Genomic DNA, 18,805 nt, shown 5'->3' on the forward strand with positions numbered 1-18,805 from the left:
GACTTTACATTTCTGTACCTCAACATACTCACCTGTAAAATGGGGGCAAGAGTAATAACTACTTATAGAGTTGTAGTTAGGACTCAGTGAGTTACAGGCATCCAGTCTCGGTAAACCTAGACAAGTAATATTATTAGTTGAGCATTCTCCTCATGGTATGGAACTAGGTTCAATAAGACCTCCTCCTAAACCAGGCTCAGCCTCCCAAACCAGAGGTAATGACAGCTCTTTCTATTCTCACAGCCCATGCTAGTGGAACCCCCAGCTTGTTCTTACCCAATTCTGTGTTTTTATGTGCTTGTCTTCTCCTCTGCTAAACTATAAGCATTTTGAAGGCAGGGATCTAATCTAATCTATTAGACTGTGTGGAAGTTCTTTAAGGGATCTAAAGTCATTTGGGTGCTAGACTTTAGATTCCTTAAAGAACTTCCATGACAACTTGCACACAGTAGGCTCTCGCTAAATATTTGCTGGATGGGAGCTAATCTGAGAAAAAGATTAAAAGCAGGCAGCCGAAGTGCACAGACTTTTTGGATTCCATGTGAGGATTCAGTGTGAGAACCCAGGTGTTTACTCCATACCACCTACCCATTGGAGAAATCTCATCAACCAAAAAGCATTTGTACGTGCAACTATGTGGAGGTGGCTCTGGAATAAACTGAATGTGATTGTAACCAGGGATCCTGAATGGAGATTTCAGGAATCCATTAACCTGCTTCAACTGTGGTAAAAGGGGATCAAGTGTACTTTTTATTTTTTCCTAGAAAGACTTCCTAGAGAGTTTTCATTGAAGGTTCATAGGGTTGGTAAGGCCCCCAAATTAAGAACTCTTGACTTAGCTATTTAGAGACAAACTTTGTGCCCCCCTAGGACTTTACAAATGAGGAAAGACGTGGCTATCCTTACAAGGCACCACCCCACTAAGTAGGGAGAATTGGGCAACGGGTGCTTGGTAATTTTAGAGGAAAACTACGGGAGGCTCCTTCAATAATTCCACAGTAAGAGACCGGGAAGGAAGGGAAATAACAGGCAGAGAGAGCCGGGGACTTGGAAGCCTCCATGGCTCACACCTCCTCTGCGGGTGTGGAGCCAAATTTATCCATCATTACACGTGTGTCCTCAGCCTGGGGCCCAGACACTCGCCATTCAGCTCTATCTGGACATGAGGGTTGTTTTCTGTTGAGGTGACTCAAAAACATACTACCTCAGGATCCAGATATACAAAACAAGGCTGTTCACCTAATGATCGTGCAGAGTTAAGTGACACTTAAACACTAGGGTAAGCCTGATACAAGAACAAAGGGAAGGAAAAGACCATTAGTGCAGAGTCCCCGTTGCATCTCCTGCTGGCAGATGATTTGGAAGGAGCCTTCACGCAGGAGTCTGTTTTATTTGCAGAAGCCACAGTGGTAAATTACAGCCCATCCTAGCCCATTCTGGGTTCTCCAGTTCCTCTTGGAGCTATTCCTGTCACTGCCCATAGGCCACTAAAACCTGCCCGCATTCAGAATGATTGATTCTGCTCAAACTGCAAGTCACAAACTCATGTCGAAAAATCCACTTCAAATAAGTCATTAGCTTCCTTTATGGATTTTTCAGGTCATGAGGAATAGGACCTGAAAGTCCCATTTACTGGAGAGTAGAAAGCAGGTGTCGGAAGAGGCGGGGGCAACTGGAAAAGCCACAGGGAGCTGGGAGAGCCCTTGTTTTCTGCCAATCAACAAAGGGGGTTTAGCAAAAATGGACCCATGACTTCATTGCCAGTGCCAGATATTCAAATGTAAAACAAAGGGCCCTGAGGTCTTTCTGTAAACTGGAAGTCAAGGGATATGGAGAGAGGGCTCAGGAGGGGTCCATCTTTGCTCCCAGGTCAGATGGAGAATGTGGAGCACCTGGGACATAGAAAGACGTGGTAAGGGAGGAGTGTCTAAGACTTTCTCACTTGTCATGGGATGGCCCATTCCAGCTGGGCTGCGAAGGGAGACCATGGTGGGCTGGTGGGATAAGACATCCCAGCGACAGGAACTGAGGCCTTAGCAGCAGCCCAAAGGCAACCAACATGAGAAGCCCGAGTTCTGTAGCTTGGCAAGTTTCCACTCACCACCTGACCCACGTTTAGCAATTTTGATGTACCATGAAACAGACAGCTCCAGCCCAGGATGACTGCCTCCCTCAGCCCCTCTCCAGCAACGAATGAAAGCAAGATCCACTTTGAAAATTCTCCCCCATCATGCAAACTGACACAGGCATGCTTTTCAAAAACCCACAGCCAATCTGTTGATCATTACTTATTTACAAAGGCCTTCGGGCAGAAAGTCCTGTAAAAACCATACTTGATACGATATACACTAGCTTTTTCTGCTTGTGGAAAAAAAGTCCCCCCAAGGCTACCTCAAACCATCACTTTCTATTGCACATAAAATGTAGCGTGTAACACTAAAGTATTTAATATATATGGTATAATATATCTACAGGAAAGGCATTTGTGTAGAAGTATGTTACCCTGGATTTGGTAATTTGATGTTTTGCTGAAGGCTACGACTTAAAAAAGCCTCCACCTCATACAGAAGACCTGTCATCTTGGTACCCAAGAGCCAACAGAATAAAGAAGTACCCTTAAGCAGCAAAACTTTGACACAGCTTTGAAGCATATGAAAACAGTATAACTCCTCAGAATTATTATTACTCAAGATCAAAGAAATGAGCCATACTTTACATAGCAAACAGGGACAGGGAATTTGGCTCCAAAGGTTTCAGATTTTTCAGACTTCTCTTTATTTATTTATTTGCTTCTCTAAATTTAGGTGAAGGAAAGTGGCTGGGCTTTTCTCTACTTTAAATGGGAATAACTATTAGAATTAGATAAGGTGATTACCTAAAGGTGAGTAAATAGGAAATGAATGCTAGCATGACACTGGCATCATAAAAACGAAAAGCTTGGCAGTTGGCACATTTTATTCCTCCTCATAAACTGTAAACAAGCATGCAAATCAGCCAAACCCAAGGAAGGCTGGGTGAAGTGGAAGGCAGAGAACTTTTAAGGAAACATTTAACAGGAATAGATGGTGATATGGAAAAGGAGTTGGGCAGGGTGAGTCTTCCACGGAAAACCTGTGTCCTCAACCACATGAAGAAAGACTGCCCTTGCCTATTTTCCAGAAAGGTGGATGTGGAGGGCCAGGAACATGCAAATGTTATTGAATATGGGGAGTGGAAATCACCACTATTCTATTTCAAAAATCAAAGCCGGTGGCCATGAAAAGACAAAACTAATGTCAAGATGGCAGGCATTTCCAGAGCAGAAACCACATAGGGTGAGCAGTGCAAATCTGAAATCACTCCTGTTTCATTTGGGTGGTAGAGAGTCAGGATGTCGGAGGAAAAAAATGCTGGGATTGGCAGATGAATTGAAGACAAAAAGGGGAGATAAAAGACAGATAGGCCAAGAAGAAGAAACTGCAGAACGCTGTTGAAATTTGACTTCACTTGCTATTTACCAGAGGAAGCCATAGTCAAGAAAGAAGTGAGGGAGAAAGAGAGAGAAGGAGGAAGGGAGGGAGGGAGGGGGAAGAAGGGAAGGAAGGAAGGAGGGAAGGAAGGAAGGAAGGAAGGAAGGAAGGGAGGAAAGGAGGGAACATGTACATGCATGCTGTATTTCATAATTAATATTGCTTTTAGCCTGAGCAGAACTGGATTACTTTTGAACTTTGCTTTGGCAAGTCCACAGATTATTAGACTTTTTCTTATCAGTCAAAATCAATTAACAGAAATTTGATTTCAATCGACAGGATAAAAGGAAGGTAATCTTCAGGTTCATTTTTGATTGTGATGATACATCTCACATATGGCCTTAAGTACAGAAAACAGTCCTCGGAGGGACTCCAGCAGAAAGAGACTGCCGCAGGCAAACTAACCACACGAGTTTCTCTGATTGGTTACCGCCATCATTAGTGCCACTGCTGTTTAGGAACTACACACAGACAGGACATGGTGACAGCTAAGACTTTAAAGCCTATGTATTTTTCAAACAGCTTTTCAAACTGTTTTTCATGACAGAATTTTTTCAGCTCTATCATTAACTGCTGACAAGCTGACAGAATAAATACTCCAGCCTTTAAGAAGCCATCTAACGATCTCGCTCCCCTCCCCCACCCCGGGCTTGCTGGGGAGGGGAGACTCTGGGCCTGGCAGGGTGAGGAGAGGGCGAGGGGAGGAAGAGAAGGGCTAAGAGGGAAACCGTGGGCAACCAGCCCCTCTCCTTACCTCATCAGCTTAGGCGAGGTGTTGGGTGAGTTCCGCATGCCTCCATTCCGTTGCTTTTTTTTTGGTGATAGTGTTGACGGCTGCTCATCTTCAACTGGAAATACAGGCAGCTCATGAGATTATGAACAGTTTGAGGGCAGACTGTGCAATACAGGCAAAATATCAAAGGACACACACTCAAGGCTCAGTCACTCACTAGGAATTCATGGCTGTCTTTTAGGACCCAATGACAAAGACCAAATGTGTTAGTCAAAGAGGCCGGCTTAGAGAAGGTGAAGGCAACACCTCTTTACACTCCAGCCTTTGAACATACACTTTAAACAGACTAAAACAGTTTGTAAACACCCTGCCATAAGAAAAAAAAAAAAAAAAAAGAAATCATGATTTATCTGTATACCAAAAAAAATACTTATCATTATTCTTAGAGTTAATTTTGGTTACTTTGCTTTGCCCAGTAATAGACTGCGTTTTGTTGTAACCAAAATCAGAAATAAAGTTGTATTTGAAATGTCAGCATAACTGCCAGCCTGCTGCTTCTCCAGATGAACCAACTTAGCTGGTTCCTAACCCCTGCATACCAGAGAAAGAGCGTTGAAAAGAGGCAAGGATTCAAGGCCTTGACAGCCAATGTTTCAATCAGATCGGGGCACATTGGTGCATGCTGGCTCAATAATCCCCAGCCCAACTCAGCTCTTATCCCTCCAACTGCCAGGAGGGAGGGCTTGTGGGGCTGTGCCAACGGGGTCCTTTTTCAACCCATGAAGACAGGAGCACCGGGGCTGGTGAGGTTGGAGGAGAGCCCCGGAATGAAGGAGGAGGTTGCCATTGAATGAAATCTCTGATGATGCAGCAGCGGGGCAGGGATGGAGGGCAGCACAGGGGATTGGAAACCAAAAGCTGTTTTCCAAATGTCTAAACCACACAGATTGCTAAGCAATGTGAAGCTTCACTTAGAAACACCACAGCACACTCTACTGCTCTTGCCCAAAGACACCCACTAATAAGCTTTGCAGATGTATTAGCCTGCATCATGCTTCTTTTTAAGAGAACTGCTTGATAATTAGCAGATGCAAACCCAGCCTGTCACCCAGGGGCATCAGCGGCAAAATTCTAGTCCTCCTCTCCCCACCCCCACAATTCAGGCTAAAGCTGTAATATCAAGAAGGAAAAATAAGATCTTTGGATTCTTATAGTTGACTGCAACACAGACTAGGAGGAAAGCACCCTGAAACTCAGAATGCACAGCAGTTACCTTAAAGCTAAGAAGAGAAATATTAGCAGTGATGACATCAAAAGAGACTTGATATATGTTAATGGTGTAGGAGTCTTAGATGGGGGAGAAAGTGCCATGTCAGCTACTTGGTATTATCCAGGAAGACCCATATTAGAGCATGCATTATATGGTACTTCCCTGAAAACGCTAAATAAATTTAGTAGGTTATGATACATGCTTCCAAAGCTATTTTAATAATCCAACTACCCTCCAAACCTGCTTCAAAGTATTACACATTTTACACTCTCCTATTCTGCTGTCAGTTTGGGCTTGTCTAAACCCTGGCTGATGCAGGAAAAGGGAATGACTGTGGTGTAAGGTGAGAGTGAGACCAGAAGAGATGAAGGCAAGAAAGCACCTGCAAACACCCACAGCCGACCCCCTGTACCACCTGCTTCCTCTGACACCCACCAGGGCCCAAGCTCAGGCCGAGACTGTATCAGTCATTTAGAGCTCCAGGCAGAGACTATGTGGCTGGGATGATATCGCATCTTATCAGAAATGAGTATCCAAAGCAAATCACACAGAGACTAAACAGCACTTAAAAGATTAAAGGAAATAAATACAAGCCACATAAATGGTATTGAAAAAATCACTTAGAGTTGATATGCATCTCTCGGCAAGCAAACAGGCACTCTGAGCTTGACCTGAATTCATCTTCCTTTCACAGGATAGGGGACCAGGCATCTGAGGCAATAATGGGGTAGAAAGGCAGCGAGGGTGTGTGGGTGTGTGTGTGTGTGTGTGTGTGTAGGTATGCTTTCGCACTTTCCCCATCTTAGAATGAAGTAGAAAGTCTTGCACTAACTAGACGTATAAGACAAGGTCATCTTTTAATATGGGCCACTTGCAATTGGTGTATTGTGTTCAGGGTGACCTAGACTGGTTGTGTAGCATGCTGGAGCAAATAACACGTGTGTGTTTGTGTGAGTGCATGTGAGTCACTCTAGTCGGGGTGCAAGTTCTGTTTTTCTCATCTTAAGGTTATAATTCAGTTAGACTTCTTAAGGTTATAATCCCACATCCAAAGGTTTTTATCTAACCTAGTCTACCACGGCTAGCATTTTTCAAGGTCACCAGATGCTACCATGGTTGTGTCCAGTTACACAATGAATCTAGATGAGTTAAGACCTGAACAGAAGTCATCCTCCCTAGCATGCCTGTGGGATTATTTTGCTGAGCATTGGCTTCCCTTTTTGCATTGGGCCTATAACAAATAATCCTCTTTGGTTAAGTGGCCATTATCTTTACACCTTGTTGCTACACTGATCTTCAGATGGGAGAGTTGCAAGTTAATACCTGTTAGCCAGCTCAAGGGAGACACCTCATTCTGGTAGTAAAGTTATGCCTCTTCTATGCAAAGAAACTATTTATTTTCATTGCAACTCAGAAAGATCATCCATCGTAATCATACTGCATTTAAAGTGGGATTTGTTCTCCAAAATGAAACTTGTGTTTAAAGGTTTCCTCCTGCACTCACAGCCTAAAAATGCAGATCTGTTCCCTGAAGAGATGGGGGAAAATGTCTCCAGCTTAAATATATGAACGCTGTGTAATGGAGACCATTACATATGGCTTAGGTCCCTCAAGAGAAGCAGTGATAACTTCTTTCTCATAAGTAGGATATAAACCATATTTAATTATCAGCCTTTATATGGATCCTATCAATTTCTGCATAAAGAAAGCAGATCTAGGAAAACTTTTAGTTAAGCTATAAAATATAATTTTCATTTCATGGCTTCTGTGACTACATGAGAGGAATAAAAATGGAATTAAAAGGGAGACTTAAATTTACTCACTTTCATGAAAGACAAACGTGTTGAAGTAGTGGGCCACTACCTCATGACGATGCAAATTTACAAGCTCTTATTTAACCTACATTTTGGCTAATTACAATACACCTCCATCTATGGCATTTTCACTTGCCTTCATGCTGCGGAAGCCACATGAAGATATGATCCTTTAAAGAAACCTGACTTCTTTAGAACACAAACAAGTTCAGGAATCTAACGTGGAATTTTATAGGAGCTGAACTCCATCCAGTCTCCAAGTACTCATAAAATTCAAGGGCTTGTTTTTGCACATCCCTAAGTATAACACTTAATGTGCTGTTGTAACTTCCCAGCGCTCCCTTGTCTAATAGGCACTGAATCTAACAGTTTTACAGTTTGGGAAGACTCAGTGCTAGAAAAATGTCAGGCAAGTCTAATGAGGCTTCAGATCCCCTGGTTTGCGCTAGAGTTTAATTTAAAGTTACAATGATGTTTTAACATGTTTGCTTATACTTGACTAAAGAGGATTCGTTATTTCAATGACATAACCTCCAGACAATGTTCTGAGAATTGATTTAAGATGTGGTGGTAATTCCAACAGCCTTAATGCAGAGTTGAACATCTGTAACAACATTTTACTCGACTTTTCATCAGCATTCTGTTTTCAAGCAAAAGCAACGTCTTCCAGAAACACTGGCCAGAACTCTGGGCTTACTTCAAAATGATTACATATTTCACTAGATTTTTAAAAAAAGAAATATCTTCCTTTATCAGCCGCGCCAGACTGCAAACACTGTGTCAGGGTTTACCAAGCCTCTTTATGGTCCTTGGAGTGAAATGGGGCAATGATTGCAACTCCCAGCCTTCCCTAATTCAGTCTAATGCCTGCATTAGATGGACCTGATGCTCAGCTCTAGCCTGGGGCACATTCCCTCTGCCCTGTTTCCCCAGTGAGATTTAAGGGGATGATGCCCTTTAAGATTTAAAGGTGAGTTTATTGGCTGGAGTTAAAAAACAGTTCAAAGCAAATAAACTCAGAAACGTAATAAAAGGCAAACAACTCATAAACATGAGTCAACCGCTATCTCCATTATGTTATTAATCACCACATCTGGAGAAACCCACATCTGTACACACTTAGCAGGTCATTAGTAATGTCATATTCACACTGGAGTCACTCAGAATAAGAGTCATGCAAAGTGGTTTGAACACAAAGGCATCTAGCTAACAGGGCTTCCGACTGAAGTCTTGCACAAGCTGCCAGTTTGGGGGTGAGGTCGTTTTAATTATTATTAATCGTTTTTTACGGTTTTCCCTTTTGGTATTTTGCTGCCCAACAAGCTAAGTGCAAGCTGAAATCCACAGTAGTGCATCGCTCTTCTTCAACTGAGCTCAGCATGGTAAAGTAGAATGTTGAGGGCTGCAGGGTAGTTATTAAAAATGGGAATGGGTCCCAGTCTTCCTTCACCTGGCTCGGTCACAAGCCGAGAATTGGGAGTCTCCTTCTTGAACTCAAATGGATCTTTGGAATAGCGTGATCTAGCTGCAACCTTGACTGCCAAACAATAAGGAGAAAAGAAAATGGAAATTAATCCATAGTGAAATTTCTTTTAGAAAAGTTCCAAACAATTTTAACATTGAATAGCTTTGAATCAAACTGGAAGTTTCTCCCTCACAGCTGAATTGCCATTTTTTTCCCTTTCTTTTACCCTGATGACTTCCTGCAATTCTTTTTGCCGTCTTATTGTCATCTGTATCAGTAGGGATAATACTTCTGGAAATTCAGAAGACAATCTTCTTGGTATAATTTCCAAAAATATACTGAGTTCCCCGTCACCCCACAACATGTACAGACACCGAAAACTCAGTTTAGCAGCAGGATCAGACCCATTCTTTCCTGAAGTCTGCTAAAACAAATTCTACTGAATAATCATTATATTCCGAGTCATCAATCCTTGGTGATAAACTTTTGCTGTCTGTCTCGAACTGCCGGCTTGGTCAGCCCCCTTAGTTGTGGTATCAGTGCCTAACATTAAATGCCGTGAGTTTGCCACTCCTCAGAAAGACAGATCCACGGCATTTCCTTCGGCCGTCAGCGACACCAGTGAAAAGTGGGTGTTTCAAATGTTGTTTTACTAAAATGAAGGGTATGGAGTGATGGTAAAATTCCTGGAATTTTACAACAGTCGTGTTGCAAAATGTAATTCACCATGAACAAAACTCCCAAGCTGACCTAAGCTCTCTCTGATATGACTGTTTAAGACTTTCACCAGAAAGTTTGTGCAAGTTAACTCTCAAAGTCTTACGGCATGGCCACAAGAGCGCAGTCTCTGGATTGGAGGATGGAATGGTGCCTGGCTGTTTCTCACACGAACCAGACGGGTAAGAGGGTGTGGTTGTTTCCTTAAGCGATGATGGGAAAACAACCACAAAAATAATAATACATGCCAGCTGAACAACCCATACTGTGAATTTGGTAGTATGATTCCTGTAAAGGAGCACTTGACTGCTGTTTCGGGATGGATCCCGTGGTGGGGAATGCCATGTGTCCATCGACGAGGCTGAGCTATTAAGCACAGCTAGGATCAGGCAAGCCAGGCAATGGAGCCAAGTTCTACGCCCAGAGAGTAGTGGGCAGTATCAGGGTGCAGGGGAGTTAAAGTGGGTGATGTCCTTGGAATGAGAGTTTCTTGCCTGACAACCTTGAATAGCACATATCACTAAGAAGTTTGATAAGCACTGCAGTATTCTTCATAAAAATCAACTATAAATCTATTTTTTGAAAGATCGTGGCTAATATTTTCTTTTTCTGAGACAAGGGGTCTTTGTTGCCCAGGCTGGTGTGCAGTGGTGTTATCTTAGTTCACTGCAACCTCTGACATCACGGCTAACATTAATCCACAGATTAGGAAAAGAAGAAAGATGCTGCCCCTTAAAAGCAACCCCAACGATCATAATATCTCAAACATATACACCTCTCTAAAATCAAACAACCACATTATCATATACATTATTCTGGCAGGATAATTTCACAACTTCTAGCTAGGAAATAGGAAACACATTTACTTGGAAAACCTAATGGGTATCAGTTTTTAAAAAATCTATCGTTATGCAGAATAAGAATTTCAAAAAATGTCTAAGTGACCTGTACTGCCCTAGGACAGGCATAGGGAGTGCCCACCCCATGGTAGGCTGCCAGGGCAGGGAAGGGAGGCTTGTTGGAGCTTTTGCATTTCTGGCTTTTGTGGAGCTAATAGGAAAATGGGGAGGGAGACTTTAAGGAACAATAGGTTATGTAGAAGTTAATCACAGGGTGTATTTCTGGCTCTATTCACTGCCTAGGAAACCTGAATTGTGTAAGTTTGAGTCCATCAACACAGAGTAATGAAAGAATTCAGCTCCTCCATAGGAGAGAGAAAAAAAATACTATATAAATATATGAACAGAATCCACATGACATGGAATGCAGTGTTCTCTACAAAATACTGCGGGCCTAATGGATCCTCTAGAATCCAATTGGGTAAATTAGATGTGCCCATGCTACCCATGCCATAGGCCCTCAACCCCAATCTCAAACTATGTTCTGTATGCATCCTGAGAGGAACTCAGCATGTACCAAAGCCCCCCATATCTAGAATCGCAGCTCATATATCTTCGCTGTAGACTTGACCTGTTAGAATCATTGCCCAACACTCCGCCCTGTTCAGTATTCAGTAGAAAATCCTTTTGGAATTTTCTGGTTGCCTTTAGCCCTTTTCTTTTTCCCTGGAATAGACTCTCTATTACCTCAAGGGCAAAGAAAAGTCTCAAGCAAAGATCACTAGGTATTAGTTTCTTAGAGATGAGACACAGAGATGAACGATGGAATTCTAAGAGGAAATGCACAATTGAAAAGAAAAATTCGAGAACTTCCCTGAATTTTTGCTATGGGGTTTGGAGAATGGGAAGGTACTAGGAGATGGGAGATAATTTTTACTTTACATCCAACTGGGAGGGCTGGGGAATGTATAGAAGTCCAATACAAACAGCCCCTCCCAACTTTCCTTTCCTTCTCTCCCTACTCCCTACTCCTGACACCAAAAGCCAACTTTCGGCTTTGTGGCAAAAGTTAAACCTGACTCCTTTAGGTTGCCCTAGCACTTGCAGTCCGCGTTTGTGAGGGACAACTTTTAGAGTAGGGATGAAACCTGCCACATCCTGGGCACCAACAGCTGCTTCTTTCTCATCTTTCTCAAGTTCAGGGGTCAGCAAACTGTAGCCTGCCACCTGTTTTTGTACATCACATGAGCTAAGAGTGTGTTTACATTTTTAAGTCATTGGGGAAACAAAATCTAAGAATAATAATATTTGGTAACCCACTAAAAAGATATGAAATTTGGTGGCTATAAATAAAATTTTATCAGACCATAGCCACAGTTGTTGGTTTACCAGCCATCCCTGGCTGCTTCCATCTCTAACGACAAAGTTGAGGACTTGCCATAGAGACCATATGGGTTGCAAAGACTAAGATATTAACTCGCTGACCTTTGACAGAGAAAGTTTGCTGACCCCTGCAGTAGTTTAATCTTCTCACATTTCCCTTGCTTTCCAGTCTCCACAAAGAACAATGTTCTTCCCAACCTGCCAAGACAGCCAAATAACAAAAGAAATACCCGTGGAGCCCACCTGAAGTGCACAGATCTGGGGACATTGGGAGGAACAGAGGTAGCTTAGTGACTCTACTGTCCCTACCACCCAACCTGCTATTAGCCCTGCTGGTCCGCTCGTGTTTGAGGTCATGAGTCAGGTGAGTTTCACATTTTCCAACTCAAGCTAAGTTAGATTCATCCACCCAGTACTTTGGAAAGCAAGGCGAACCACATCTACCGTGAGCAATTCCTCGAAGCTGTCAGCGTGTGCTGCCAGTCCACCCTGCGAGAGCCCCGTACAAGACAACAGATTAACCATTAGACTAGATATGTTGAAAATATACAGCTTCAACCTTTCCCCAGCTAGCTCAGAGCGATATATAGATGATTATTTCAACCGTCAGCTGCCGCATAGATTTAAACCTCTGCACAATAACTCCTGGATTCATCTGCCCCTTGTCAAACTTGCACAGCTTTAGTTGGAGGATACATGGTGTGGCAGTTTCACTGTGAATCCAGAATGATCCAGACGGCTGCTGTCTCTTTGTTAACAGGAAGCCAAACTGATGAGTTTGTAATGCATTTCTTATCAAAGGTAGTTTCAGAAAAGAAAATGTGCCCCATCAGTTTGGCTAGAATTTCACATACACAAGATTATAGGCTTAATCAGAATATCTCTGTTATTTTCTTGAGGAAATAGATAATTCCACATCCATTCCATTAAATCATTTTATGCCAATGAATTATGTATTTATGAATTTATAATTATCCTTGATTTTTCTTCCCCTTTTGCAGTCTACTTAATAAAATCATCAGCTGGAGCTTACAAAGCAATAGTGCTTAATAGATACAAGCATGCTAATATATTTTTTAAGTGAATGCTGATCTTTCTGAGCTGTGTGTCTAAAATCATCATTGTGAATAAAAGAATTGTAATTTCCAACCCATACATTTAACAAAGACAAAGTGGACTGTAATGGAATTTATGGAGCCTGTAAAGGAACTCTTTTTCTAAGACGGTTTATAATCAAATAGATTTGGATTTACTGTAGGTCAAATCAGGTCCCCCGATGTGTATCAAGAAAAAAATGCCTGTAAGATACCAAACACTGCTCCTGGCACCCTGGAAGGGCTCACACCCATGGCTACAGCTGCTAGTTTCCTGGTGTCCTCATTGTTTCCACCCCTAGTGAATTCAGTACTTAAATGTCAGCTTTGAAATCAATATTTATACTGTCTTCACTTAAAATTATGACATTCTGTTCATCCTGGATTTTTTAAATTTTGATTATTTTGAAAATATTTTATTTTGATAGTTTGAAAATATTGCATGAAACTATCATTTATCTTGATTCCTGAGGTTTTGGGTCTCCTCTTAAATTTGGTGCCCAGGGCAAAAGCTTCTCTCACCTCGCCCAATTTCCAGCCCTGAACACCATTTCTCAAAGGTGTTTGAGGTACTGGTTCTGCCACCCCACAGAACTGGACAAGGCAAATCTAACACAAGACTTATTTCTTTTGATCACTTCATGCTGTTTGCATGAGATTGTTAAGGAAGGCCCTTGCAACAAACACTTCCTCGTGGATTTACAAATTGTCAGGCATCCCAAGGAGTGGAGAAAAGATCATGCTGCCTCAGGAATCTGAGATTTGCCACCTGCCCAGAGTGAGAAACAGAAAAGAGAGCTGGGGTCAGGTCTCTCGTGGACTTTATTTCACATCCCACATCAAATCCTCCTGGTTAACACAATGTTGATTTACATTTCCACTTTGGGGTGAAAGTTTTTATTTGCTTACATATTTTGACACCAATGTTACTTTCTTTTTCTTTCCCCCCACCCCCAAACAGGTTCAAATAGCCATGACTGGCAGAAGATGTCAATCACATTTCATTTCCATTTTCACTTTGCTGTTTACATTCTTTAAATTAATGCTTGCCCCAATGATTGTGATATTTAAAGACCAGCCTAGAATCTAATTGTGTATATGTGAAACTGTTTTCTAAACCATAAGATGTTATATAAATACAAACCACTATTATTATTAACATTATTACTATTGGCTCATCCGGAAATACCATATCTTCCATTGAGCCAATGGTGTCAAGAGCCCCCTAGAATTCTAATATATATTCCAGATGGGTGCACTGATAATTTCTTTCAAACTCAGATAAAGGTAAAATGCATGGGTTTTTAGTGCAAGCCAGGTGCCCGACGAAGAATATTCTGCCAGAACACTTTAGAAATACAGTATGCTTTTAACCTTGGGAGGTAAGGACCAGTGTGGATTATGACTTTACACTAAACACAGCATTTAGTATATTTCTTAAGGGCATAATCACCTTCTATAGATGTTCTTGAACTATAAAATCTTTATCTGTATGCTATCATAATTTATCCTCGGACACATCCTGTGCAATATTTTATAATGCTAGTGTATGGTGGGCCTTTCTGGTCAATGCATTGGAGAACAAGGTGTGGAGTGCAACAGAAGGGCTGGAAGCGGCTTGGGGATGCTCTGGCCTCACCCTCTTTTGCGTCATAGCTGCACTCATACGCAGACCCTGACCCAGGACCCAGGTCGGCTGACTTCTAATTCAGATCATTTGCTGCCAGAATTCTGCCTGTGAGTGAGAACAGCATGAGGATATGAGCTTCTTGAGTCAGTCCACCTGCCCAAGTCCCAGCTCTGACCCTCTTTAGAGCTCTGATCTCAGACCAGTTACTCCATACCTCAATGTCCTACGATCTACTGTGATCCCTACTGGACCAAGGACACCAAATTTCGGAGATGCTTTGGGATTATGTGACATAACCAGGGGGCTGCAGGCTGACAGCCTGAGGACCAACTACTGTCCCCAGTGTGCTGAGCTTGGCACCACCCTGCTGATACACAGGATTTCACATGTGGGACAATCTTTAAGTCTGAAGATTGTCCATACAAATATGGATTTCTAACTTCTAATTAAAAATCTTGTAGAGGACTGAGTCTTCATTCCAAAAGGGTGCCATTCTCCTGGGGCAGGAGCTTATCAGCTGCTCAAATGCCCCACTGCTGCCTACTGTACCCCCATATATAGGGCAGACACCCCATGTTTGCATTTCTGGCCCTGGAACCAGTGACACTCAAGTGTACCATCCCCGAAATAAAGATTTTAAGGCATGGGATATCCCTCCACAAATGCCTACTCACATTGAGTGGGTAGAGAGGTTAAGAGTTAACCACACAGGTCTTAAAGCCACATTGTTGGGTCTGAACCTAGGTATTTGGCAAATTATCTAACTTCAGTTTTCTCACCAATAAAATGAGAATTAGAGTACCTATCTAATAGGTTGTTGTGAGAATTGACTGAAAATGTGAAAAGCACTTAAAAGAATTCCTGGTGAGCTCTTTCTAAATGCTACCCATGATTATTGCCTTGGCTTTGAAGAGTCAGAGCAATGAGAGTTCTCTGCTGCTGGGTCCTTCTCCACACCAGTCTGCCACATTTGGACATGGTGTAATTCACATGGGTCCATACTCTCTCTCCTTCCCCAAGCAATTGAGCCGCTAACCAACACTTAGAATGGGGTGAGCATTCCCACCCCCACCTGACCCCTAGCCTTGCATCTCATTCAACTGTCACCTTTGTCCCTTGTTTCATATGGCCCCAATGAAGTGCTCAAGTCAAATAATTAGGTTTTGCCAAATGTCATAAAAACAAGAAAAGCCAGAAAACGTTTAAACGGACCTCAATTGGAGAAGGCTGGAACCATTCAGGGCAAGAACAAATGAAAGACAGATGGGGACAGAGGAACCCCACTGTTTCCTCTAAATTACAGGAAATTCACGCCGTCTGATTGTGAGGGCCTCTTTTCTTTCCCTTGAATTTCTGCTGGGAGGTCATGGGATTGATCGGCGTGTGCAGACACATGGGAGACAGAAGAAGGGGCAGAGGCATGGCGGGGTAGAGAGGCAGTGACTCCTTCACCAGGCTCTCCCACCATGTCTTCCTTTCACCTGACTACTTGACCACCCTTGAAGGGACAGCCTAGGCTGCCTCCTCCAGGGGGCCTTCCCAGATGATTATGACAAGATCAATTCTCTCCTTTCTTTAAAAAATCCCCTGGCACTTCTGATCTCATGCCTTGCATTATTATAATTTGTGTTCAATTCTAATGTGTTCTACTCCCCCAGCTAGGCTTATAAGCTCCTCTGTTGGAGTTCACATATCACTGAGTCTCTCACAATGCTGGGCCCTGAAAAGTTCCCAATAAATAGCTCCGAGCAGCTACAGAGGCGATGTTGCAAAGGGGAGAAGCACAGCTTAGTGATCAGGAGCCCCGGGGTTCTAGGCCTGCCTTGGATCAACTGTGTGGCCTTGGCAAGACACTTCCCTTTCCTGGGGGGATGAGCATTAGTTAAGTATGAGACCCTTCTGGCTCTGATTTGTAATGACTCTGAGTTTAATGTCGGGCATACCTTTTTCTTGTTCTTTTCTTTAAAATCTTTTTAAAGATGCACAATAAGAGAGAACCACAAGCCTAGCCAGAGAAATTAGATAATTGCATTAAATACGAATATACGAACTCATAAGTTACATAAATGCAACAGTACAAAAGATGTTGCATGAGAATGTCAAGGGAGGGCTACATGAAATGTCTTAGACAATAAGTTAAGTCCTAGAGAGAGAATTGTTCAGGAAAAAAAAAAAAAAAGAAAGGAAGAAAAAGAAGACGACTTGAAACAAGAATAGGATGAATAGAGAGGTCCCGTATATCCCCAGATGGAGCACAGGGCCTGGCACTCAGGGGGCACTTGACCCATGATGCTGAACAGACTAAGGAGTGGCAGTAGAGGGTGGGAAGGGCATGCCAGGTGGAGGACACAGTTTGAACCAAGGCAAGGTGGTTGGAAAATACTAAACTGTATAAACTGTAAGAAAGTCAATTTGGCTAGAGCAGGAAAATGTGTTTGAGGGCACAGTTGGAGGTATAAAGGGCAGAGAGTGTAAGCGTTTACATTCCAAATGATAGAATTTGCACAATATTTAGTAATAATCTGAAGCCTCTGGGAAAGCTATTTTTCTTCTGATTTAAATACTGAAGTTCAAAGAGGATAGTGGGTGGGCTTTGCATCTTGCAAAAGTCTATCAGAAACTGCCTAGCTCGCTCAGCCCACTTTCCTTTCCAAGGTAAGAAACACACATTCATGCATGGAAATAAAGCAGGGAGGCCCTTGGCAACTGTCCAGTTCCATTGAAGTTCTCATTTTTCTTTTTTTTCTGGAGAGCTTATTCAACAGGAAAATAAAGTTATCTAATGCCTCAGAAAGGGGTCCCGTGAAACTCACAAGGCCTATTCCTCACAGCCCAGCCAGGTAAATTTACCCTGATTTCAGGATGGCTATTTCTTGTCTTCAACTACTCCAGCTGATCCCATCCCCTCTACAGAGAACTGGAAGGAAACCCGTCAGGGTTTGACTTTTACATGAAAACTGACTGCAATCCATATTTTCAAAAAATCATTTTCAACAAAACCAGTGCTTTAAAATAGATTCACTGAGAAGAAAATGTTTCCCCAATCCTCTCCTCCTTGATTTTGTTGAATCAATAACATTTCAAGATGTTCTCTGTGAAAATCACATGGGTGAGTTAAATAAGAACATACATTACATTATCTAGATCCTCAACTTGCAGCCCTTAGCGCAGTATGCCTGAGAAAAGTTTAAAAACTCAAAAGAGAGAAATCCTATTCAAAGAGTAAAATACTGCCTATGCTTCCAAAGTTCTTTACGGCCTGATAGGTAGAAATTTAATAATGAAGGGCTGGGAATGGTGGCTCACATTTGTAATCCCAGCACTTTGGGAGGCTGAGGCAGGTGGATATCTTGAGGTCAGTTCAAGATCAGCCTGGCCAATATGGCAAAACCCCGTCTCTAAAAATACAAAAATTAGCTGGGCATGGTGGCATATGCCTGTAGTCCCAGCTACTTGGTAGGCTGAGGCAGGAGAATCACTTGAACCTGGGAGGCAGAGGTTGCAGTGAGCTAAGATCGCACAACTGCACTCCAGCCTGGATGACACAGTGAGACACTGTTTAAAAAAAAAAAAAAAGGAAGAAAATTTAATAATGAAAAACATAAACAAATAAGTGAGTCATCCTGAGACATATTTCAATTCTCCCCTTCTGTAACCTCAATAAATTCATTTTCTCCCACATAAGCTAATGTTTGCACTAAATATTCTGTACAAAGGAATACCGCAGACCATAAAAAAAACAGTAAAAAGATATAGCTGTGTCTTTTTTAAAAAACGGTTGAAAAATTGGGTATGTGTGGACAAAATAATTTTTAAAAATAGTTTTGCTTGCACATTTGATTTCTCTCTTCATTTATGATGCCCTAGTTGATGAGCTGATCAACTTTTCTGTGAAAAGTCTTCCTAAAAAACAGAACAAAACTTAACAGAAACTCTGATCCTGTTTGTCAAAATGTAGTTCTGGCCCCGAGAGAAAGGCAATATTCTTTGGATGACTTGGATTCTAAAGCAACTCTTTTATTAGTATTATTATTTACTTTTTTTTTTTGAGACGGAGTCTCGCTCTGTCACCCAGGCTCCCAGGCTGGAATGCAGTGGTGCAATCTTGGCTCACTGCAACCTCTACCTCCCAGTTCAAGCAACTCTAGTGTCTCAGCCTCCAAAGTAGCTGAGATTATAGGCACCTGACTAATGTTTGTATTTTTAGTAGAGACGGGGTTTCACCGTGTTGGCCAGGCTGGTCTCAAACTCCTAACCTCAAGTGATCTGCCCGCCTCAGCCTCCCAAAGTTCTGGGGTTACAGACGTGAGCCACTGCACCCAGCCTGGATTCTAGAGTAACTCTTGATGAA

At 42.3% G+C, this 18,805-nt stretch overlaps 1 protein-coding gene and 1 long non-coding RNA gene across 54 annotated transcripts in view, besides 1 other annotated feature; one reads left to right on the top strand and one right to left on the bottom strand.

Annotated features, from left to right (window-relative positions):
- KCNMA1-AS1 (KCNMA1 antisense RNA 1) overlaps positions 1–12,883 on the top strand; it is a 90,550-nt gene extending 77,667 nt beyond the window's left edge. The window contains exons 3-4 of the long non-coding RNA NR_120655.1: positions 11,900–12,094; positions 12,732–12,883. This is a non-coding gene — a long non-coding RNA (KCNMA1 antisense RNA 1). The remainder of the gene's footprint in view (positions 1–11,899; positions 12,095–12,731) is intronic.
- KCNMA1 (potassium calcium-activated channel subfamily M alpha 1) overlaps positions 1–18,805 on the bottom strand; it is a 768,207-nt gene that overhangs the window by 96,109 nt on the left and 653,293 nt on the right. For 43 of the 53 annotated variants that reach the window (NM_001271518.2, XM_017016222.3, XM_024447990.2 and 40 more), the window contains one exon: positions 4,264–4,357. In NM_001271518.2, the coding sequence (NP_001258447.1) occupies positions 4,264–4,357 (94 nt within the window). Of the gene's footprint in view, positions 1–4,263; positions 4,358–8,776; positions 8,864–18,805 lie in introns of all 53 variants that reach the window. The other 10 variants (XM_047425199.1, NM_001437423.1, XM_017016213.3 and 7 more) reach the window with 1 other exon arrangement.
- Positions 7,572–8,771: an enhancer, noted in NCBI's record as "P300/CBP strongly-dependent group 1 enhancer chr10:78733040-78734239 (GRCh37/hg19 assembly coordinates)". NCBI's record gives its function as "activates an origin of replication core promoter dependent on BRD2, BRD4, P300/CBP, MED14 and CDK7 cofactors, with strong dependence on P300/CBP, by STARR-seq in HCT116 cells {active_cell/tissue: HCT116}" and the evidence as "EXISTENCE:reporter gene assay evidence [ECO:0000049][PMID:35650434]".

This window comes from Homo sapiens, chromosome 10 (genome assembly GCF_000001405.40).
Source record: "Homo sapiens chromosome 10, GRCh38.p14 Primary Assembly".
In the NCBI taxonomy this organism is placed as follows: domain Eukaryota; kingdom Metazoa; phylum Chordata; class Mammalia; order Primates; family Hominidae; genus Homo; species Homo sapiens.